The sequence below is a fragment of the Homo sapiens genome, chromosome 2 (assembly GCF_000001405.40).
Source record: "Homo sapiens chromosome 2, GRCh38.p14 Primary Assembly".
NCBI classification, from domain to species: Eukaryota; Metazoa; Chordata; class Mammalia; order Primates; family Hominidae; genus Homo; species Homo sapiens.
In genome coordinates this window covers 86,279,711-86,303,398 of record NC_000002.12, presented here as the reverse complement: position 1 = coordinate 86,303,398, position 23,688 = coordinate 86,279,711, and the positions used below count along the sequence as shown (strand labels likewise).

The 23,688-nt window shown below is 45.0% G+C and overlaps 1 protein-coding gene across 16 annotated transcripts in view; it reads left to right on the top strand.

The window, feature by feature from the left end:
* REEP1 (receptor accessory protein 1) overlaps window positions 1–23,688 on the top strand; it is a 124,091-nt gene that overhangs the window by 34,685 nt on the left and 65,718 nt on the right. For 10 of the 16 annotated variants that reach the window (NM_001164730.2, NM_001164732.2, NM_001371280.1 and 7 more), the window contains exon 2: window positions 21,157–21,229. The exons of 1 other annotated variant lie outside the window; for it this stretch is intronic. In NM_001164730.2, the coding sequence (NP_001158202.1) occupies window positions 21,157–21,229 (73 nt within the window). Of the gene's footprint in view, window positions 1–5,632; window positions 5,656–5,711; window positions 5,731–17,737; window positions 17,825–19,931; window positions 20,076–21,156; window positions 21,230–23,688 lie in introns of those variants that run through there. 5 more of the 16 variants (XM_011533045.2, XM_005264504.2, XM_047445536.1 and 2 more) reach the window with 5 other exon arrangements.

Genomic DNA, 23,688 nt, shown 5'->3' with positions numbered 1-23,688 from the left:
AAAAATACAAAAAAAATTAGCCAGGCTGGTGATGCAGGCCTGTAGTCTGAGCTGCTTAGGAGCCTGAGGCACGAGAATCACTTGAACCTGGGAGGCGGAGCTTGCAGTGAGCCGAGATCATGCCACTGCACTCCAGCCTGGGCAACAGAGCGAGACTCTGTCCAAAAAAAAAAAAAAAAAAAAAAACAATTAGCCGGGCATCGTGGTGTACTCCTGTAGTCCTAGCTACTCAGGAGGCTGAGGTCAGAGGATCACGTGAGCCTAGGAATTCGAAGGTACAGTGAGCTAAGAAGGTGCCACTGCACTGCAGCCTGGGTGACAGAGCAAGACCCCATTTCTAAAAAATAAAAATATTTTTTTAAAAAGCAATTCAGCTTCAGCCTTCAGAGCATTCATTATGGGTGTGATGATCTGCTCGAGTGGACCGTAGCTACACTTGAACTCAGTGAGATGCAGGACTGTCCCACTCATCTTTGTATCATGACAGTACAAAGGATCTGTCATGGATGAAGGGTCAAATGCTACTGTGGTCAATAGGATGGGGAAGAAAAGGAAAGGATAAAGAAGAAAATAAAAATTACTCATAATTCCATTACCTGGAGATACATTTTGGAGGGGTCCTTAAGACTTTTTGAATACAAAAAGTTTATGATTGAAGTTACTGTGTATCTTGCATTTCCACTTAACATTAATATATTAATACTTTATTGCCCACAAGAGTCCTAAGATAAGATTTTAGTGACCTTTTAATGTTTTATAGCCAATTCTTTCTTTATTGTTGGATGTTTATATCATTTTCAGCTTTGGACATAAGAACACCATGGAACATATTTATGTGTTAATCTTTGTTTGCCTCTGATGATTTCTTTTGGATAGATTCCCAGAAGTGCAATTACTGGATCAGAGGATAGCAACACTGTTAAGGTTTGAGAAATAATGCCAAATTGTCTCCCCAGACTGTGCCAGTCTCTACTCTCATCCTCAGTTTTTGATGGATGGGTTTGTGAATTCTTTAAAGAGATAGAAGCAAAAAACCGAAGCACCAATGGCTTCATTGGCTGTTGTTTCCATTTGGAGGAAACGGCAGCTTTTCTTGTGATAGGAGCCAGGTTGTAGAGAAAAACCTGTCCCATTGCAGCCCTAGAGGCTGGGAGGTTGGCCCTCAGTGACAAGGGCCCGTGTTCTCAGCCTCCCTGTCCTTTTCCAGGCTGGAGTCTGGGACCCGGGAGCCTCCTGAAGAGACTGCACAGCTTTCTGGAATAGGGGAGGGAAGGAAGCTGCTTGGTGACCTTTGGGCACAAGCTGCAGGCAGCACTCCATTAGCTGCACATCCATTAATGAGGAAGTCAAGCTTCAGGAAGCTGGGCTGGCTTTATAAAGCCTATGGGGAATTAAAGGAAAAGGGAGTGTGGATGAAGCATTTGTTGCTGTCATGGTGGGGGGAGGTCATGACTGGGCATTCATCTGCATGGGGCCTCCTGGCCAGTTAATCCCAGCAGCAAATGTGGGTTTTAAGAGGTTAGTCATCTGCCTACAGGGAATTGGACCTGCCTGGGAACCAAACTTGCAGCCTCTTGGACAGGTGCATCTGTTGAAGTGTTAAGTATACTCTCGCTTATTTTTGCTGACTTCGACATTTATGGAATTGATGCAACTTAGAGGACACTTTGAAAAATAAAGTGAGCCCTAATCAAGTTGTTATTTTCCAACTGATCATATGTGGTGAGGATGCTCTCTCATAAATGATATTTTAAAATTGACATTACATTGTCATTTAGTAAATTTTGAAAATGAATGAAAGAGTTTAATATAAACATGACGAGAGATAGGAAACTAGTATTTCTGGTATTGTCACGCTGGTCTCTTGAAAACTCTTGTTTCATTTAATCCTCAAAATAGGAATTGTTGTTAGTTATTTTTATAGATGAGGGGACTGAATCTTAGAGAAGTTCAGTAACTTAATCAAAGTCATAAAGCTAATACGTGGTAGAAATGAGATGAGAATCTATGTCTGACTGCAAAGCCCATGCCCTGCCCGGTATGCAGGGAGTTGTTTTGCCCCTGACCCTGGCAGGAACTGGAAGGAAGACCTTGCAAGCTGGCTGCCATTATCTGCTCCTAGGGAAGTGGGGGCTGTATGCCCATGGAAAAGCCTGCTGTGGTTTCCGCTGGTGCTGTGATCAGCTCTGAGAAGCACTTAGAGCCCGCTCCAAGGAGCTTCAAAGAGAATGCGGATGAAGGAGTTGGACAGCTCCCAGCTTCTCTGGTCTCACATCTTCACTGTGGGTGCTTGTATTTAGTTGGTGTGATGTGACTTTTTACGCAAACATACACGTTTGGTGGTCACCTCATTCACATCTGGATACTGCTTAATTGGATTCTTGGCTCTGACAGCTTCTGAATTGGATCCTCACCTTTTGGTGCCAGCGCAACCTGGGTTTGTCAGTGGTACCCAGAGGCGTGAAGGGCTTTGTACACAGAGATGCATGATTTTTCATCAGAGGGGACTTGGCCAGCCCCAGTGGATGCAAGTTCAAGATGGAGAGAAGGCTAAGGGGACCCAAGTTTTAGGGCATCCATTGTCAGAGGTTTTGAGGGCTGTATCTGAGTCAAGTCCTCTTTAAGCTTTTTTGGTTTTGGTTACATGAACCAAGATAGATAAAACCAACTGGCCTTAGCATGAGCCAAAACAACAACTCTTTATTGTAAAGAGGCAGGGAGTTGCAGCTGAGTCATGCGGCCCTGGGACCTGGAAGGCAGTTGGGAAGCCTTCCCTGGGCCCTGGTCTCACTTATCTGTTTCTTTGGCCACATCTGCTCGACTCTCTCTGTGTGTCTGGTACTCTCTCTGACTCTCTCTCACCCTAGACTTCTACTTTTCATGTGTATATGGCCAAGCACGGCCATGCACAGTTGCAGTCCCCACTCTTGAGTTTATATTCCTTTAGTTCAAGTATCCAGCAGGAATTACTCAAGTTTCTCAGTACCAATGCCAATTCCTGTGAGACAGAACCTGACTGTTGAGGGCCTGGAAGCGTTGTGTGGTATGAAACTGGCTTCTGGGGCCCATCCTAGTGGATGAGAGGCACAGTTCTCAGCGCAGAGGAAGGAGGGCAGGACCTGTCGATGGGAAATAGAGAGAGTGGACCGATTTGGCTAAAGAGGCAGAATTTGGACTGGACCAAGGAGTGAAATCCCAGGTAACAAATTTTAAGTCAGTAAAACAAAGAGCTCCTTAGGGTGGCCCAAGCTGGACCAGCCTGCGTGGGATGATAGCAAGTTCCTGTATGTGCAGAGGTTCAAACAGTCCAGAACAGCATTCTAAAGCAGATCCAAGCATCTGCTGGGGTGGACAAGATGGCTCTCATGGTCCCCCCTGGCCATGTCAGTCTGGCCCTGGGCTGCTGCCTCTGCTGCAGATATTTTCCTTGGATTCTCCACTCACAGAAGGAAGATTGGAGGGTATTTTACTGGTGTACTTGTATTAGAGGGCCATATTCAGTCTACCAGTATTTTAACTACTGTTGTTGCTGGGTGTTGGATTGTGGATGATTTTGATTTTTGTTTTATTTTTTACATATTTTAAAATTTTTCTACAATCAACATAGATGAGTTGTGCTTATGTTAACAGTAAGAAGTTAAACCATAGTTTATTAGTAGCCAATAACTACTTTATTAGTAGCCAATAAATAGTAGCCAATATTAATTGCTACTCTAGATGGTGTTGTGGCTTGTATAAGATGAACGCAGTATTGTCCTTGCTCTTAAGGAACTTGTAGCCTAATGAGGAAGGTATGATATAACCACATAATGCAAGCTGGAAGAAGGCTAGTTAAGTGCTAATAGAACATTACCAAGTGTGTAGAAGGCACACATATAACCCTTGTTCTAAGGAGCTCAGGAAAAGGTTTTATAAAAAGAATAGCCCTGGATCTAGGCATAGAACAGTGGTTCTCAAGCAGGGGCTGTTTTGCTCTGAGAGGACATTCGGTGGTGTCTGGAGATGTTTTTGGTTGCCACACTTGGAGTGGGGTCATCTAATAGTTAAAGCCCAGGGATAATGCTGAGGACAGCCCCTCACAACAAAGAATTGTCTGGCCCCAAATGTCAGTAGTGCCAAGGCTTCTAGTCCAATGCATTAGAAGAATGCATAGGATTTTGGCAGACAGAGTTGGGGGCAGAGCACTGCAGGCCAAGAGAATGATGACTGAGCACAGTGGCAGAAATGCATGAGTAGACAGGAATTAGCAGAGGGCCCAAGGAGCTGGTGGGACACCTGCAGCTAGGTGGCAGAGGCCCTTGATATCAACATAAGCAGCTTGGACGTTTTTCTTTGGGCAGTAGGGAACAATGGTATCTTTTGAGCTCTATCAAGAATAGAGTCAGTTCTTAACATCCCAGCTTTGCTTCATTGATTGCTCATCTGCACAGCCACAAAGATGAAAACACACCCGTTTTCCTGTTTTTCTCCCCAGCCTATCCACTCTTTGTTTTCCACCATCCAGAGGAAAGCTCGGTCAGCACTCTGCCTTGCTGACCCAGGATTCCCATCTGCTGGTGACAAAGGGATACAGCAAAAAGCGATCCCCTTTTGACCATTCTCCTTCCTGCTGCAATTTCCAGGAATGTACCATGGCAAGGGTGACTGTCCATGACTATTCTGCTGGCCCCATAACAGCTTTGCTCTGCGCACCGTTGTTTGAGTGTTTACTAACATCCTCACACTATCTCTGGATGCAGGGTGGAGGGTAGAGGGCCCAGTTCATGCTCAAAGCGTCCACACGGTAGAAACAGCCCAGCAGAGGCCAGGGCTGGACCTGGGTCCGACTGCAGGCATGGGGATAAACAATGCTTGAGCTGTGGAGGGGAGGGCACCCCAGAACTCGACACGGTGCTCTCTTCATGTGTTCACTCCTGCCTCACCAGCAATAGAACAGTGTTACACACCCATACTGGTAGGCACTAGGTGAATGTTTTCTGAATGAAAGAATGAAGAGACAGATCCAGGGAGCGGGTGTGATGGCCTAAGATTACCCAGCCTGTTGGGATCAGAGCTGAACCTGGAACCAGGATTCCTGACCCCCAGTTGGGAGCCCATCCCTGTGCCACATCTGCCCTTCCATGCCCAGGGACCTGGTGCTATCATCCTGGGTCCTGGCCAGGCACCTTTAGCCAGCACCCTGTTCTCCAAACTTCTCCCATTCCTTGAATTCCACCATTCCCCAAACCAACCAATCCATCAACCCAGGGAAACAGCCTAGCATGCCCTTCCCTACCTGCTGCCAGTGGCCACAGAGCTGTTAAACTACTCTACACTAAAATGTTGGAGACTGCTAGTTAGTTACTGTGGTTATCCACTTCCCCCAGGATGTCTCTGACGATGCCTCAACTCAGGCATTTCTTAATGGACCAGTTGGGGTGGGAAGTGGGGCATGCGACCCTATATGGTGCTGAAGTTTTTGCCAAATTATACTATTTATAGTAAGGCCTTCTTGGCTCAAACACATCTAGGGAAAGGGAACAGTGTGAACTTGTCAGTTGTTTTCTCTTTTTATTTTGAGAGGGACCCAGGCTGGACCTTAGGCATCCTCTGAGATCCCCCAGAGTCTTCTGGGAAGAGGCATTTCCCTCACACCCAGAACCAGTGAATGAGGAGGTAGGTTGCTTTTATGATTCCACTGAGACAGTGACGCTCCTCCCCATGGCTTCAGAAAACATCCACCTTGGAAAAGTAAGTGTTCTCTTCCTCCCTCCAACCCCCGGGGAGAATCTCTCTTGCAGGTAGTGGCTGTTCTTGGTCTCCCAGCTAGGTGGCATCCCTGCATCTTTTAGGTACCAGGGCTTGTACCAACTCCACCCCAGGACTGGGTAAATGACTCCCATGATGGCTCCTATGTCAGCCCTTCCAGTGGTGGGACACCATAGTCCATGGTCCTCTGGTCAGAGCTTCCCTTGTAGGAAAAGCATTTTTGCAAGTCTGTGCAGCATTTCCATTTTCAAGTATCATAACGTATATTATCCCATTTGACACCACATTTTGCAGAGGAGATAAAACAAGTGAGGCTTCTGGGCTCTTGTCCATGAACCCATGTCTAGTAAGTGGTATAGCAAAGACCAGCACCAAGGTCCCCAAGCTCCAAGCTCTCCTGGGTGGTCCCTCCTTCCATGGTGCAGCTTGGAGTGGCTTCACAGCCAGGCAGAACAGGGGCCACACCCTCGTCACAAGTGCTGGCCAGCTCTCTGGGCAGGGGAAGCCTCTGGATGTTGAGTATGGAAGGAGACCATGTGGGTGGTTGGTAGCACAGTGCCTGCCTGGAGTAGGCCCTCAGCAAGGGGCTCTGGGTCTGCATGCCTGACGTGCACAACGTGGCACATGTTCTGGTGGGAGATGCTGAGGGAGGGGGTAGATCCACGACATGGAGGGAGCAACACGGTCCCTCGCTGTTTTGATTGTTTTCAGCAGAACCCAAGTTGTGTTACAATTTGCATGAGGCTTGTTAAATGAACTGATGTATTAGACAATCTAATTTTTTTTCTTTTTTGAGACGGAGTTTCACTCTTGTTGCACAGGCTGGAGTGCAGTGGCGTGATCTCATCTCACTGCAACCTCCACCTCCCCAGTTCAAGCAATTCTCTTGCCTCAGCCTCCTGAGTAGCTGGGATTACAGGTGCCTGCCATCACTCCTGGCTAATTTTTGTATTTTTAGTAAAGACAGGGTTTTGCCACATTGGCCAGGCTGGTTTCAAACTCCTGACCTCAGGTGATCCGCCTGCCTCAGCCTCCCAAAGTGCTGGGATTACAGGCATGAGCCACTATGCCCGGCCTTAGACAATCCAATTTTAAACCAGTCCTCATGATGACTTAAAAGTATTTCCTCAGCAAAGCCAAGGACTTGTGGTAATACAAATACATGTGATCAAAATATTTTACTAATTTTGTGCGATCAAAGAAGTTGGAGCATCCATGGTTTAGTACCTAAGCTTTGAAATCTCACATTCTAGTTCTGGCTCTGCTACAAACTTGGTGTGTGACCTTAGTCCAACTATTTAACTTCTCTGATCCACATTTCCAGTCTGTGAAACGGAAATTATAATCATGTCTACTTCGTAGAGTTTTTGTATGTGCAAATGGATATAAACTGCTAAAAGCTGTGTACAGAGCGTGCATTGTATTGTAACCAGTGCTAATTACTGAGGAGTGCTATACTGGTAACTTTTTTTCCCCAAAGTGTGAAGCTTTCCTTTTTAGTCTTGATTCCTGGATAATAGGACATTCTTCACTTGGACTTTCCCTTATGGTCACCTATGATTGTGGCCATTTGAGGCTCATAAATGGAAAGAATGTATATTGTTTTCATTCTGAAGCAAATAAAACTTCTTACATTTCCATGCTCAGAGCTACCTCTTTCTGTTATTGTCTTGGAATTTTTTTCTCCTTAGTGACCTAGTTTTATCTATTCTCTTCAGATCTGCAAAAGCAAATGGCACAGTTGTTAAAGAGGAATTCTCATTCTGTGGTAGTTGAGAGAAATATCTTTATTTTCTAAACAAAGCAGCTGTGGGCTGGGCGCGGTGGCTCACGCCTGTAATCCTAGCACCTTGGGAGGCCAAGGCGGGCGGATCACGAGGTCAGGAGATCGAGACCATCCTGGCTAACACGGTGAAACCCCGTCTCTACTAAAAACACAAAAAATTAGCTGGGCGTGGTGGTGGGCGCCTGTAGTCCCAGCTACTCGGGAGGCTGAGGCAGGTGAATTGCTTGAATCCGGGAGGCGGAGCTTGCAGAGGCGGAGCTTGCAGTGAGTGGAGATCACACCGAAGCACTCCAGCCTGGGTGACAGAGCAAGACTCCGTCTCAAAACAAAAACAAAACACAAAGCAGCTGTTTGTTATATTTTAACTTTTTAACTATTGTGCAGTATTCCACCATACTTTTTAGAGCATTACCGAGGATTGCCCTTCAAAGCATCAAACATAAAAAATTGTTATCCAAAGGAGGACCTCACCTTCCTTACACAGGGTCTGTATTGCACATGGTGGCCAGGGCCCTTGGAGCTGTGCAGCCAGCAGTGGCTCTCCTAAGTCATCTGCAGGGCAGGTGTGCGAGAGGTACATACGGTGGGTTCCCGCCCCAGTCTCTCTGCTTCCTTCTTCCCCAGGTTGGCCAACTCGGGAGCAAGGTCCAGAACTTCCAGCCAGAAGCGCACTTTAGCAGCTGCGAGCTGCATTTGTTCCCTGATTGTCCTGACTCACTCATAATTAAGACACGTGCTGAAAATTCTCTCAGAATTTAAATTTTGCTCATTGAAGTAAAGCTGCTGTTTTCCAGCTTGCTTTTTTTCTTTTCTTTTCTTTTTTTTTAAAATAGGTTTTGTGTTCTAATCAGGGTGCCATGCTGGACCTGAGCCAAACATCCTTTGTTTCACACAATCCTTGTTCTTCTGTGGGCAGGTGGGACATAGTCCCACCCTCCCCTTCTAGTGAGGTAACAACCGTGCTTTTGTTAGCAGTTCTGAGCCCTTCTGCTGCCAGACAAACCCAGTGGCCTGGAATCATGGTAATTTCTTATGAGCCACACAATTATTTATAACCAAGCCATCTCAGATCCTTTCTGGAACAAGTTAGAAACCTATCTATCTATCTATCTATCTATCTATCTATCTATCTATCTATCTAAAATATAAATCTCAGAAACATTTTAATAGTGTAACTTCTTAATAGAACATAATATACAGCAATGTTTTTTCCTCTACAACCAGAACCAGTAAAAAATATATTTACTTGCATTACTTGTTAATTTTCACTCATCTTAAATGTCATTACAATGGATTGAATAAATTGAGATGTTTGAAAATTTTAGTAAATTTTACAAAATAGCATTGTCGCATCAAACAGATATAAATTGAAAGATTATATATTCTGTTTTCTTATAACTTTTTTAGAAGTAATCTTTTATGGATTAAATGAACTAATGACCTATACTAAGTAAATTCTGTTTTTATAAAATTTTTAACTATGGATGATTTTGAACAAATATTCATGCAGATATTTTTTTGGTTCCTAAATGTCATGAATTTATTTTATTTTAATTGTGATAAAAGCACATGACATAAAATTTACCATCTTAACCATTTTTAAATGTACAGTCAGTAGTGTATATTTATTGCACATTGTTGTACAACCAATCTCCAGAAGCTTCCATCTTGCAAAACTGAAAATTATAACTCCACACCCATTATCAACTCCCTATATCCCCCCAGCCTGTGGCAACCACCATTCTACTTTCTATTTTTATGAGTTTTACTTATCTAGTTAAGGAGTTGAGTTATCTAGAGTAGTCCACTTATAAATGTAATCACTCAGTATTTGCCTTTTTGTGATTGGCCCATTTAACTTAGCATAATATACTCATAGTTCATCCATCTTAGCAAGTGTCAGCGTTTTCTTCCTTTGAAAGGATGAATAATATTCATTATTTATTCATCTGTTGATGGTCACTTGGATTGCTTCCATCTTTTGGCTATTGTGAGTAATGCTGCCATGAACATGGGTATGCAAATATCTTTTTGAGACATAACCATTCTACTCTGTTAACTTGGCTGATTTTAACAGATGGGGAAATCAGTAACTAAACGTATAAGACCAGCCTCACTTGGCAGTGTTTGTTCACATGGTGTCATAGGACTATAAACAGAAGCGATGCAGCCTCAGTACAGCTGAGTGAGGGGGCTGGAAAAACCTGAACTTTCCTGTATAATTTGAATTCAAATCTTGATTTTCCTGATTAAATTTTCTGTATAAATTCCTAATAATTTGCACACAGTGAAATTCACCCTTTTTACTGTATAGTTTTGTGAGCTTTGACAAGTGCATACAGTCATGTAATCACAACCACAGTGTAAATATAGAACAGGTTCATTGCCTCCAAAACTTCCTCCATGCCCCTTTGTAGTCATCATCTTCTTCTACCCCACTGCCAGCCTCTGGCAGCTCATCTGTTTTCTATCTCCGTAGTTTTGCCCATCATCATTTGTCTTTCCTTCCATACTTAGCACACGCAGCTTTGCCTGCCACCTTTCTTGTTCTGATACACCTGGCACCCCGGCCATGTTGTGACTTCCCTGAAGATAAAACCTCTGACTTTGAGGTATCAAGTTGGATTAGAAGAGCAGAGTTTGAAGCCAGATAGAGCATTTGAATCCAGCTCATTCAGTTAGCAGCTCTGTGACCTTGTGTTGGCCTCAGAATCTGACACAGAGTAGGGACTGAATAAATGTCTGTTGGATGAACGAACAAACAAATGAATGAATGAATGAATGAATGAATGAATTTAACCTCTTAATGTCCCAGGTCCCTCCTGTGTAAGAGGGAATGGATAGTAGTTGCCTCACCTGACTTCTGTGGGGATCAGTGCCTTGTACAGTGCCTGGTGGGCATTAGTAAAGGTTTGTCCTGTTCCCATGGCCTTCCCCAGGGCTTTTGATACCCTCTGCCAGACCGACACATGCACTCAAAGTTGGCTGGGCCCTGGCAGAGGACATCAGTACCTGCTGTGTGAGAGCGAGGAGGGCACCAGCTGAGCAGACAAGTCCCCAGAAAACCCCACAGATACCCGCTGACCACCTGCCAGTCAATCTCAAAGAGCTCCTCACTCTTTCCCCCCACCCCTTTTTCATGGTGCACATAGGAAGGCCCAGCAGTCCTTTTCTCAGCCTAAATATATACCATGTAGGGGGCTTTAGATGAAGCCCACCAGAAGGAGAAAACCATAACCCTTCAGCACAGAACCCTCTGGCTGGGGGTCAGGTCTCTGGCTCTGAGGTCTGGGGAGGGGAGCATAAGCTGGGAAATAGGCAACCACAGGACAGTCATTGTAAGTGAATCTTCTCTCTTCTTCAAAACAGACTCAGCAGGACTCATCACAATTATTGTGATGACAATAACCAGTTATTTGTATAATTATCTGCTTGCTGCCTGCCTTTCCTATCAGATGGCCCAGGGCACACAGTAGGTGCTCAGCACATATTTAATGATTGAATGAAAAACATTTTGTGGTTAAAAGAATTGGCATTTGCAGTTACTGTTTCTGTAGAAGGGAGGGGAACTGATATTTGTCATTCATCTAGAGTGTCTCTGGTAAGTTAAATTTGTACCTACAGTCTCCTCATTTAATCTGCATAGTGGCTGTTGAAAGTAGGTGTTTTTGGTCTCTGTACTCAAGGAAACTGGTTCAGAGTAGTTAAGAAGCATGCTTGCCACTCCACAGCTAGTCAGGGTTGGAGCTGGATTCAAACTCAGGTCTGAAGTCAAAGCCCAGCCTCTTTCTACCACACACAATAAAGCTGGGTTGCTTAAGAATAGGAATCTCTACAATTAAGACTTAAAAACAAACAAAAACAACAGATTTAGGCAGACATTTGTGGTTGAGGGATTTGTGTGGATTGGATTGTGGAGTGGAACAGTATCAATTGGAAATTTACAGAATGTTTGTTCCTGCTTGCATCAGACTTTTCTGTTTTGTGCTTTCCTAAGTTGGGTTTGGGAGCATAAAAATCCAACTTAAAATGGGATTTTTGCAGCACACATTACAGACAGCTTTAAATAAGTAATGCAACTGCCTCTTCATGCTAAGAAAGGCAGTATGGAACGGGGAATGGCCAGGGACGTGGAGACAGGAGGCCTGGGTTTGCGTCTTGTTGGATAGGAGAAGGGCTTTGGAATATCCCTCAACTACTCTGAGGCTCAGTTTTTTTTATTTGTAAACTGGGAAAGTAATCCCATTGTCTCGGAGGGGTACAGTGCAGATCAGATGAGGAAATAAGCAAATGAGATGTTTGTGAGGTGGGTTACCCAAGGAAGAGTTGTGTATGTGTTCACTCTCTCAAATCTGCAGAGAGGAGCAGGGTCTGAAGCCAACTGGGAAAGGAAAGACTACAGAGAGGCTGGCAGAATCACATGCCAAGGTGAAAAAGAAGAACATGTCTCGTTTCTGTTTTCCCAAGATCAGCTCAGGTCGGGAGAGAACCTCGTTTATGTGAACAGTTTATGTGCTTGAAACCCTAAAATTATACTGTCACCTGTTGTCAGTAAATCTATAATTCAGGGCCAGAGTGGAATTTCATTAGGCAACGAAGCAGGCAGCAGTCTTCCTCCCACTCTCCTACTCCTCATTCATTCATTCAGAGACCAGCTGCAGACTCTCAGCCATGTACTGCAGAGTCAGGAAGGCAGTGTGTCATAGCAGTGAGGAGATGGGCAGTGGAGTTAGACATGTGTTTGACTTTGGCCTCCTCCCCTAATTGTGAGACTCAATTATTTATTTTCACTAAACCTGTTTTCTCATTATTATGAGGAAAATGATAATACCTGTCTCACATGAAGGTTAAAAGTGAGCACTCAAAAATAAATGGCTTATAAGTCACAATAATACAGTCTTTAGGGAACCAAAATGCATAGTGGGCCAGTTCTGCTGTTTTCCTATTTTCTCCCTCCAGCCTGTTAGAAAGTCACTGTGAGTAAGCAGAAGCCCAGGGGTTGGGACCCATGGCAACCAAAGCCCAAGTGGTTTGCTGTGCTATGGGAACCTGAGCTGTGTGCTCAGACGGAGGATCTCTTTTCCCAGATTAAGCTTCTAGAGAACCATCGTGAGTGACGATGTTCCCTGGGGCAGTATGGTAAAGGTCAGAGTTTCTCAAGCACTTAGATCCCAGGCCCACAGCGTATCTGAGACAGTCCTTTCAGGGCTAGAGGATCAGTGGGTCTTGGAGATGGATTATGGTTTTGGGAAGGCTTGTTTTGCCACACATGGACCTTCTGACATCAGGAAGGTACTGATTGTCTCAGAGCTTGGAGGCTGATGCTCAGGTCAACTTGATCCACTTTTGGAGAGCCACGACACACCTCACTTGTGAGTGTGAATTCCTCTGAATGCTTTGGTTTTTTTAAAGGTCAGGTGTATAGTGGTGAAATTGGTAAAATTCACTCTTTTTAGTGTGGGTTTTAATTCTGAGTTTGGGCAAACTTATACAGTTGTGTAAACAGCACTACAGTCAGGTATGCAGCAGCTCCATCCCTCCCCAAAATTCCTTCACATTCTTGGAGTCAACCTCCCACCTCCCCATCTAACCCTGGCAACGACTTATCTGGTTTTTCTCCCTGTAAACTTCCCTTTTTCAGAAGAGTGTATACCAGCCTGGCCAACATAGTGAATCCCCGTCTCCACTAAAAATACAAAAATCAGCTGGGCGTGGTGGTGCACGCCTGTAATCCCAGCTACTCAGGAGACTGAGGCAGGAAAATAGCTTGAACCCAGGAGATGGAGGTTGCAGTGAGCTGAGATTGTGCCGCTGCACTCCAGCCTGGGTGACAGAGTGAGACTCCATCTCAAAAAACAAAAAAAGAAAGAAAGAGCATATAAATGGAGTCATTAACACATGTCACCCTTTGAGTTTGCTGCTTTCACTCACCATAATGCATTTGAGACTCCAAATGCTTTTGACCACAGAAAGGTTAGTGGTTCTGAGAGCAGCCTGGAAAGTCAGTAGCATTCCTATATACCATGAATAACCACTCGAAAATCTAATTTTAAAAATCCACAATGCCACCAAAAAAACCCCCAAAACCTAAAGTGCCTAGCAGTAAGACAAAACATGTACAAGATCTTTATGGAGAAATTTACAACATATAATAAAAAGACATTAAAGAAGACATGAGGAAATGGAGGCCACCATGTTCACAAAGAGGAAACTTGAAACCATAAAGATGGTGATTCTTCTAGTAAATTTTATGAATACAGTGAAATTCCAATCAAAATCTAAATAAGGTTTTATGTGGGACTTGACAAACTATCATGAAATTTATATAGAAAAACAAAGGGTCAAGAATAGCCAAGATTCTACATTGAAATTTCTAATAAAAAAAAAGAATGGCCAAGACAATTTTAAGAATATCAGGATTCATTATAAAGTCATGGTTGTTAATATTATGGTTATTATAAAGACACCGTGGTATAGGTGCATGGTTAGACAGTAGATCAGTCAAATAGAGAGCTGAAAATAATACCTATGCCTATTGGAAACTTTATGTATGACGGGTAGCACTGCAAATCAGTGGGATGGGACAATTGGGATCCATATAGAAAAGAATAAAATTGAATTCCTAACTCACATCATACATAAAGATCAATTCCAAATGAATGAAAATCTAGTATTGAAAAAGCAAAAGTTTAAAACTCTTGTAAGAAAATATACGTGACCAGGATTTTCTCAACAAGATAGAAAAAATCTGGAAAAGACTGATATATTTGTCTATATAAAATTTAAAGCTAGAAAGCAAGAAAATGCACCACAAACCAAGTTAAGAGAGCTTATATTGAGGAAAAACATTTGTAATGCATATGTCCGAGAAAGGATTTATACCCAAAATTCACAAAGAATTCCTAAAAATCACTAAGAACAAGATAAACTAATGGAGGGATATAAACAGGGTAGTTAAGCAGCCCAAATGGCCAAAAGGCATAAAAAGTTGCTTGACTTCACCTGCCACTGAGGAAATGCAAATTGAAACAAACATGGGATACCATTTTACACCCATACCCATCACAGTGGCAAAAATCTAACAGTCTGACTATATAAGTTTGGCAAGAATGGGGAGTATTAAAATCTTAGACACTTGCAGGAAGGAGTATAAATTGGTACAGTCATTCTGGCAAGTGGTTTTGCATTATCTGGTGGAAGATGCTGTAAATTCTGACCCAGCAGTTCCACACTATGTAGATACCCTAGAGAAGGTCTCAAATGTGCCCAAGGAGACATGTATAATAATGTTCATCACAGCCCTGTTTGTAAAGGGGAAAAATAAGGAACCTAAGTATGCATCAACAGAATAAACTATAATATGTTCATATAGTAAAGTGGTACACAGTAGTTAAAAAGAATCTAAAAAAACTGGATGCAGGTGGCACATACCTGTAATCCCAGCTACTTGGAAGGTTGAGGTGGGAAATCAGTGAATCCAGGAGTTCGGGACCAGCCTGGGCAATGTAGCGAGACCCTGTGTCAATACAAATAAATAATTTTAGGCTGGGTGCTGTGGCTCACGCCTGTAATCCTAGCATTTGGGAGGCCGAGGCAGGTGGATCACCTGAGGTCAGGAGTTCAAGACCAGCTTGGCCAGCATGGTGAAACTCCATCTTTACTAAAAATACAAATATTAGCCAGGCATGGTGGCTCACGCCTGTAATCCCAGCTACTCAGGAGGTTGAGGAAGGAGAATCCCTTGAACCTGGGAGGTGGAGGTTGTAGTGAGCTGAGATTGTGCCACTGCACTCCAGCCTGCACAATGGGAGCGAGACTCCATCTCAAAAAAATAATAAAAATAAAATAAATAATTTTAAAAAATGATCTAGAAAGACAAGTGTCAACATGGATTGAATTTCAAAAACATAAGTTTGAATGAAAAAACATATCACAGTGGAATACATCTAGTGTGATTCCATTTGTAGAAGATGTAAACAGGTATAAACACTTTTTTTCTGTTTATGCATGGCTCATGTAGTTAATAAAAACATAGTGAGAATGATAAACACCAAATTCAGGATAGTGGTGAGTTTTGGGGAGGAGGAAAAGGATTGTATCAGGAAAGTACATATAGGGGATTTCAAATATATCTGCTGTGTGTTACAGTTTTCTCCAGATTAAGAATTATAGCATATTTATTGGAATGCCAAAAGGAGCTGAAGAACCAAGGAGCATTCTTCTGTTAGACAGCGAAAACAGTCTTGGAGATTAATGCTCATAAAAAGTGATAAAAATGGATTTATATGTTTTTAGAAAGTATCTTCAGAAAACATAATTCAAAATTATATTTTTATTAAGAACACAAAGCACAAAACATAGTGTAAATTTTAATACATTTTAATGCTCAGATGAAACACTGTGCCTTCATGAATTGGAAGACTGTGCAAATTTATTTTCTTGGGTACTGTACATCATTTTTAAAAATTATGAAATAAGGCTGGGTGCAGTGGCTCATGTCTTTAATTCCAGCACTTTGAGAAGCTGAGGCGGGTGGATCACTTGAGGCCAGGTGTTCAAGACCAGCCTCGACAATGTGGAGAAACCCTGGCTCTACTAAAAATACAAAAATTAGCCAGATGTGGTGATGCACACCTGTAATCCCAGCTACTCAGGAGGCCGAGCAGGAGAATCACTTGAACCTGGGAGGCAGAGGTTGCAGTGAGCAGAGATCATGCTACTGCACCCTAGCCTGGGTGACAGAGTGAGACTTTGTCTCAAAAAAAAATTATGAAATAAGATGTGTACAGTTTTATATATATTTGTCATTATAAAGCAAGTGCTCAGGTCAAGAAACACAGCATTCCAGAAGCCCTTGTGTGACATACAATTTCTTCAGTGTGATTTGTTTTTTAATGGTATAAAGAGCTGTATAAATACACTTGTTATTCCTCTTACATTTTAAAAAATTAATCTTAGAAAAATATATTGCCAGCATTGATTTTTAAATTTTTAGCACAATTTGGGATTGGGACATGTTGGTGCAACTCTAGGATGCCTGAGAAGACTGTGGAAAATACTAGTTTGTTTCATGGTTTGCAGAGGACTTGGCTACGGTCAGCAACAGCAGTGCCACAGCTTGTAGTTATGCCCTAGGTCAGCAATCTCTCTCTTCTGGCCAGAGCTCCAGGAAGTTGATAAGCAACTTCAGAGCTGTGTTTTCGCTGACATTGGCCAGCAGGCTACGTATGTGGTCTTTACCATTTGGGGCCATCCCCCACTATCAGAGCATTTACAGTTTTTCTTGGGACACTGGACATTTTTTGAGCTCTTGGGGTTCAAAAAAATGAACCTTGGGGTTCAAAAAATGACCCTTGATGGTCTAGTGAAGAGTCCATGGCCCAAAGACCAGGAAACAGCACACTAGTCTAGAAACTAGGGTTTCTCAGCAGTGGCACAATTGACATTTTGGAATGGATGATTCTTTGTTGAGAGGGGCTGTCCTGTGCATGATAGGATGTTTCGCAGCATCCCTGGCCTCTACTCACTGGCTGCCAGTAGCACCCTCTCAGACAACCAGAGTGTCTCTAGACATTGCCCAGATTACCCTGGGAAACGAGATCACCCCAGTGGGGAACCACTGCATCAGAGTGTAGTATTCACACGAGGCTCATGCTCCCTTCTCGATGCCACAGCTGTGGAGGAGGTGGGTGGGGAGGCAACCTGAATGAAGACCCCTAACTTGGAGCAAGAGGAGGAGTGAAGGGCAAAGATAAGGGAAATGCTGCAGGCAGATCCATGGAGCCTTTACACAGAGTCGGGGCTTCAGGGTAACAGTTAATGACAGTGGGGGGAAGAGAGGGTGGGCGCAGAGCTGTGAGGTGCAAGCTCCGTTCAGAGATAACCGAGAGAAGTGTGTTAGTGCAGAGCCTGGTCTCTCTGGAGGATGGCACTCCAGCCTTCCATCTTCCCTCTGCTTGAGCCCAGCTTGAGCATTAAAGGAGCTTTAGACCCTCTTATCTTACCACATTTTTTCTGACTTCCTAGAAAGTTACGTGAGTCTAGCAAGTGGGCTGAGTTCCTTGGAGACAGATTGAAATTGCTTGTTACTCAACAGACATTTCAAGCACCCACTTAAAGGGGGAGGTGCTGTGCCAGGCACGAGGGACCCTCCTGATTGCCCAGGACTATATGATCTGACTAGGGAGACAGACTCAGCCAGCACAGGCAGCCCCGGGAGAAGGCAGGCTCTGTTGTCAGGCTGCCTGGGTTCAGATCCCAGCTCTGCACCTGGCTGATGTGTCTCCTTGGGTAAGTAATGATGCTAAGCCTCGGTGTCCCAGTCTGTAAAATGGGGTAGTAAGAATTCTTTTTCCCTATGTATTTGAGAGGATTAATTGAAAGAGTGAGTACAGCTTGTAGAACAGTGCCTGGCATTAGTGAACACTCAATGATATAATAATATTATTTTAAATGTTTTATTATTGCTGCTACTACATAAGGCCTGTCACAGGCTTAAATAGTATCAAGAAAACTGAGGGGGCAGTAACCAAAGGCTTCACAGAAGAAGTGGCATTTCTGAGATGGGTCTTAAAGGATTAGTGGCGCTTTATCAGGAAAAACAAAAGAGTTGTGGGATTGGGAAAGATCCTGTGCTAACATTCAGACAGAAGAAAGAGCAGCCAGAAAGTCACAGATTGCAAGTGAATGTGGCTTAATCAGGGGACAGCTGCTGGCTCTGTGAACCCAAGGCTGAGGGAGGGGTGGGAAGCAAGGCCAGTGAGGCCGGTGGAGAAGGGCCGTGTAGGGGTACTTGGTCTGAAGGAGCAGAAGTACCAAGCCCTTTTGGCTTGAGCCTGCTTCCTTCATTATTCCTTATTTCCAAAATAGGTTAAGAAGAACTGACCATTTTCATCCCATTTCCCCTTCCCCAGGGCAGTGAGATGCTAAGTGTTACTGAGCTTTTAGAAACCGAAAAGCAAACTTGTGTGTAGGGACCTTGTGCTATAACACAGGAGCCAGGCGGAGGATGCTGGCAACCAGCTCACTCCAGAAGAGTCCAGCTGACCTAGCACAGGCCTTCCTGTCTTGCCTTCCCTGCTCTGTGACCATTCAGAGGGTGTCACGACCCACGGGTTCACGGGGATCCCATCAATCAGCTCCTGGGTAGCGCTGTACTTCCCACCTGTCTCTCCTCTGCTGCTCACATGCTGTCCCAGGGCAGGGGCTGGAAACCATCCTGGCAGACATGGGTAATAACCATGGCACCTGTGCCTGAGGAGTGGTGTATTTATTTCCCCCCAGTCCATGGCGTTGTGCCCGAGGCTTTGCTGAATCAGCCTGGTGCTGTCTGGCGTCCACCTCGCTACCGAGACCTCAGTCCCAAGGTCACGAGCGTTCCCTGGATGGTGCTGGCTTTGGCTTCCCCATTCTGATACTTCACACAGTGAACACGTACTTACTGAGCCCTTCCTGCTGTGCAGGGCACAGGGGTGTGTTATGAATGAGGGACACCATCTCTGGCTTTGTGGAACACAGTCTTGTGGGAGAGACGCACCCTGAGCTGACCAAGTGGATACAGTGGACAAGAGCTAAGAAAGGGGCAGGTACAGGAGCTAAAAACGGAGAGGAGCCCAATCGTCAGGGGGGGTGACCAGGTCAGGAAAGGCCTCCCCGAGGAAGTGAGGCTCCTGGATACCTGAGAATGCTTAGGAGGGGGCAGGCAAGGAGGCAGTGTGGAGGAGTGTGGGGACCTTCCTCACCAAGGGGGCGATGACCAAACCCAGCAGGCTTCCCCAGCCACCTCCCCCTTGGCCTGCCTGCTGTCTTTGGCACTACCCTCTCTTAAATGTTTCCCCCTCACCCCCAGGCCTACTTTTTCCCCTTCCTTCCACTACTCTCTCATCCCCCCAGTGGCTCATCCTGCTCTTCACACAGGTCATTTCAGCCTTCCTGGAGGGTGGGCTGCTCCCCAAGGTAGTGCACAGTGATCGCAAGAAGCCAGGCTTGGAGGAGGCTGGCCTGGCTGGGCTCCAGCACCTGCCTTACCCTTCACTGGTCATGAGGCCTTAGACAAGTAAGTGACTGGCTGCTCCGTGCATTGGAGTCCTGTCTGTAAAAGGGGTTCCCTTGGACAAGGCAGTCTAAGTGGGATAAAGCTCTAAAGCACTTCGCACAAGGTATGTGTGAGTCAAGAGTTAACAGCCCTCTCCCTTTCAGTGCCAGAAACGGACTTGGTTCAGTTAACTTTGTTTTCCCTGGAAACCTGATGATTGTGGAATGTCAGGGTGTTCCCTGGCAACAGTGCTCATGGTAAAGCTGACCCCTGCTTGGTAAATTGCTTCTGGACTAGGAGTTCTCTCAATACCCAGTGAACTACAGCTTTGGGTTTCTTCAGTGTGGTGTCTTCTGTAACTAGGCTGGCTCTTTGCAGGGACTCTGAAAGCTCCGTCTGTGGGGTTGTCACAGGAGATGTCAGCTCATATAGTACCTGGGCCAGGCCCACTCCTGCACCTAGTCAGCTTGGCCTTAAGTTGGCACCTGGGGTGACCTCATCTGTCAGGTGAAAAGATTAAACCTCCAGCTCGATTCATTTATTTAAAAATACCTGTTGAGGGCCTACTATGGGGTAGGTTCTGGGAACACAGTGTTGAGCAAAACAGATCCATTATCTGCCCTCAAGGCACTTACAGTGCTGTGGAAAGAGGGCTGTCAATCAAAACATTACACAAACAACAATAAAAGAACACCCTGATAATAGGTACACTGTGCTATGAGTGTAGTGGGGAGGTTTGAGCTAGTTAGGGAGGCCAGGGAAGAAGTCATATTGGAGCTGGGATATGATGGATGAACAGGCATTAACCAGATAAAGAAGGGGGAAGGAAGACTCCAGAAGGAGAGAACAGCACAGGCAAAGGCTTTCTGGGTGGGGGATAGTGCATGGTGGAGAGAATGAGGGCAGGTGGAACTCTGCCGTTCAGGTCCTGAGAGGCAGGGCTGAGCACAAGATCATTTAGTGACCCAACGCAGCCCTGAGCATAGATCAGTGAGAGCTGCTGCCCAAACAGTGTCACATTGCTGGTATTTTTGCTTCTTCATCTTAAGAGCAATGAGAAACAGGCTAATGCAAGATGGGATGTATTGGTGGGAGGAGGGCTTGGCCTGATTGGATTTACAATATGAAATGTGAAGAGTTTATTCTAGCTGCAGGATGCTGAGATCAAGTCCAAGGGGAGTGAAATTTGAGGGGAAAGGTTTTGATGGAGAAAGAAGCCTGAGGTGTTTGCAGGCTTAACAGAGCTTCAGAGGGGGGTTAGCAGCAGGAGAGGAAAGGCAGCCTTTAATTTCAGGGGTCTTGGTGCCTTCACATCCCCATTTTTGGCTTCCATGACCCCCAACCACCCTTCCATGTTGCCAGACCACAGGTTGAAGGGAGGTGGGTGTGGGCTTTAACAGAAGATAGAGGTGCCCAAGGATGCCCCAGCCACGAGCAGAACACCTTCAGGGCATTCATAAAAATAAATCAAGCCCCACAGCAGCACTTTCTGTAGCTTAGAGAGTTGCTCTTGGCATTGAAGACAGACATTTTCCATTAAATAAGATAAATGAAAAATCGTATTTATTTTTGTCTCTCTTCCCTCCAGGCTTATATTTGGCACCCTTTACCCTGCGTATTATTCCTACAAGGCTGTGAAATCAAAGGACATTAAGGAATATGTAAGTAGCACTGTGTATTTTCGAGCGGGTTGGCTGGAGTCAGGTCAGGTGTGAAATGTTGGGAGAAGGGGATGCCCTCCGTGCTATGGGCACTGGAAGCAGGGAAAAGGAGTTCCTTCATCACAGTTCTCATGAGACATCTCAGGAGTCCTCTTTTCTGTCTAGACCTTCCCCTGCCTAGACCTAGAGCGTTGAGGTGAGAAAAGCAGGGAGATACGGCAAGAGGCTGTGGCATCTGGAATTGGAGGTTTCTCAGCTGTGCCACAAGCCACAGGTGACTTCACCTCTCTCAGCCTTGATTTATTTGTCTGGAAAACACTCTGTAGACCTTAAAGCACCGTGATGGAGAAAAAGTCCAGCATCGCAGGCAGGAGCACAGGTTTTAGAGTCTGGCAGACCTGGGTTTGGTTCCTGGTTCTGCAGCTCTGCCCCCATTCCATTTCTTTCATTCCAAATCCACAATTCAGGCTGTGTTGCTCTATAACCTTCTGAAGGCAGAGGATTTTTATCATCCTATATCTGTTTTCATAGTTTTGTTTTTTGAGCCGGAGTCTCACTCTGTTGCCTGGGCTGGAGAGCAGTGGCACAACCTCGGCTCACTGCAACCTCCGCCTCCCGGGTTCAAGAGATTCTCCAGCCTCAGCCTCCCAAGTAGCTTGGATTACAGGTGTGTGCCACCACGCCCAGCTAATTTTTGTGTTTTTAGTAGGGACAGGGTTTCGTCATGTTGGCCAGGCTGGTCTCGAACTCCTGACCTCGTGATCTGCCTGCCTCGGCCTCCCAAAAAGCGGGGATTATAGGCGTGCCACAGTGCCCGGCCCCTATATCTGTTTCCTGTAGCACATTGCAGAAGGTGAGCACATAGGAAGGGGATCTGGGAGGACTTACTGGTCAGAGGATAATCTCAATTACTGTTGGATGATCTGGGTGCCCTAGTCACCAGTTCTGAATGTGTTGGGCACCTTCAGGCAGGAGAACCATTAGACCACCGCTGACTGAGAAAGACCTGCTGGGTGGGTGGTGAGGGAAGGGTGTCCTTCCCCACACAGGACACAAACTCAAAATGCAAAAGGTGTGGATTTTGGCATCAGAAGACCGAGGTTGGTCAAGTCCTGGCTCTGACATTTGAATGATGCAGTGCTGGTCTAAGTAGCTTAAACTTCCGAGAGCCTAAGTGTCCTCATCTGAACAGTGGGGTGGGTAATAGCCATGCCTTTGCCTCTTTTACTCAGATGTCTCTTGGCAGGTTTGGCGAAGGTAAAGAAACAATTCAAGGTGGGCTTAGAAAGTCAGTATTTTTTTTCTCAGATTTCCCAAGAAGTCTTTATGATGAAACCAACCATCTCTAGATCAACTGCAACCAGAACTCACCCCCCACCCCACCCCGCAATCTCCCACTTTCCCAGAACAACTTGCCTGGGCTTGCACCTTGCTGTTCGTAAGCAGGGAGTTCCAGAGGGGAGCGATTTTTCTTCTGGAGACTGGGTCTGTGGTATATGTGAGGGAATCTCAGAATGCACGCTATAAATAGCTGTTAAATTGCAAGCACAGAACCTCCTGATTCTCAATTGACTTGGCACAGGGCAAAGCATTAAGCAGCTTCTCCTAGCCCTCCCTCTCCCAACCCTTTCCCGCCTGCAATCTGTGCCAGAGAAGGAGGCCTTACCAGGATCACTGTGGTATAAGGTCTAATCCTTCACTTTGCAGGGGCGAAAACAACTCTGTCAGCTCTTCTGAGAGAGATCAAACCCTGGTAAATTGTTTTGCTCTGACTAAACTCACAGAAGCCTGGTTTATGACTAGAATGGCAATTCATTAATTTAGAGTGAAAACCATAATTGATGAGCAGAGCAGCTGTTTGTGTTGGCTGCTGAGCACATGCTTTTCCCAGTAGGGAACGTGCAAGAGTTTAGATTAGGTTTCTTGGTAAAAAAGGAATCTGAAGAAACAAGCCGAGTAGTATCAGGAGGGAACTGCCTTTCTCTGCACTCACACTCCTGTGTTTCCTTCCTGCAGTCCTTTCGACTAATGCGCCCATTTTGTTCAAGAGAGAAACCTGCGAGTTTCCTTAACACACCCACACCCACGCCCCACCCAGTTGGTGACCATGTCCCTTCATCCCTGTCGCCTGAATAATCTTCCAAACCAGGTCTGTCGTCCTTCTCTGCTGCCACTCTCAGAAATGAGATTCTCACTATTTTCCCTAGAAGGTTACAGTAGCCTCCTATATTAGTTTTTTATTGTCACCATTACAAATTACCGTGAACTTAGTGGCTTAAAACACCTGTGTACTATTTTATAATTCTGAAGGTCAGAAGTCCAATGAGTCCCACTTGGTTAAAATCAAGCAGGGCTGTGCTCCGTTTAGTGGCTCCAGGGGAGAGGCTGTGTCCTTGCCTTTTCCAGTTCCTAGAGGCCATTCCTGGATTCTTAGGCTTGTGCCCCTTTCTCTTCCTCCT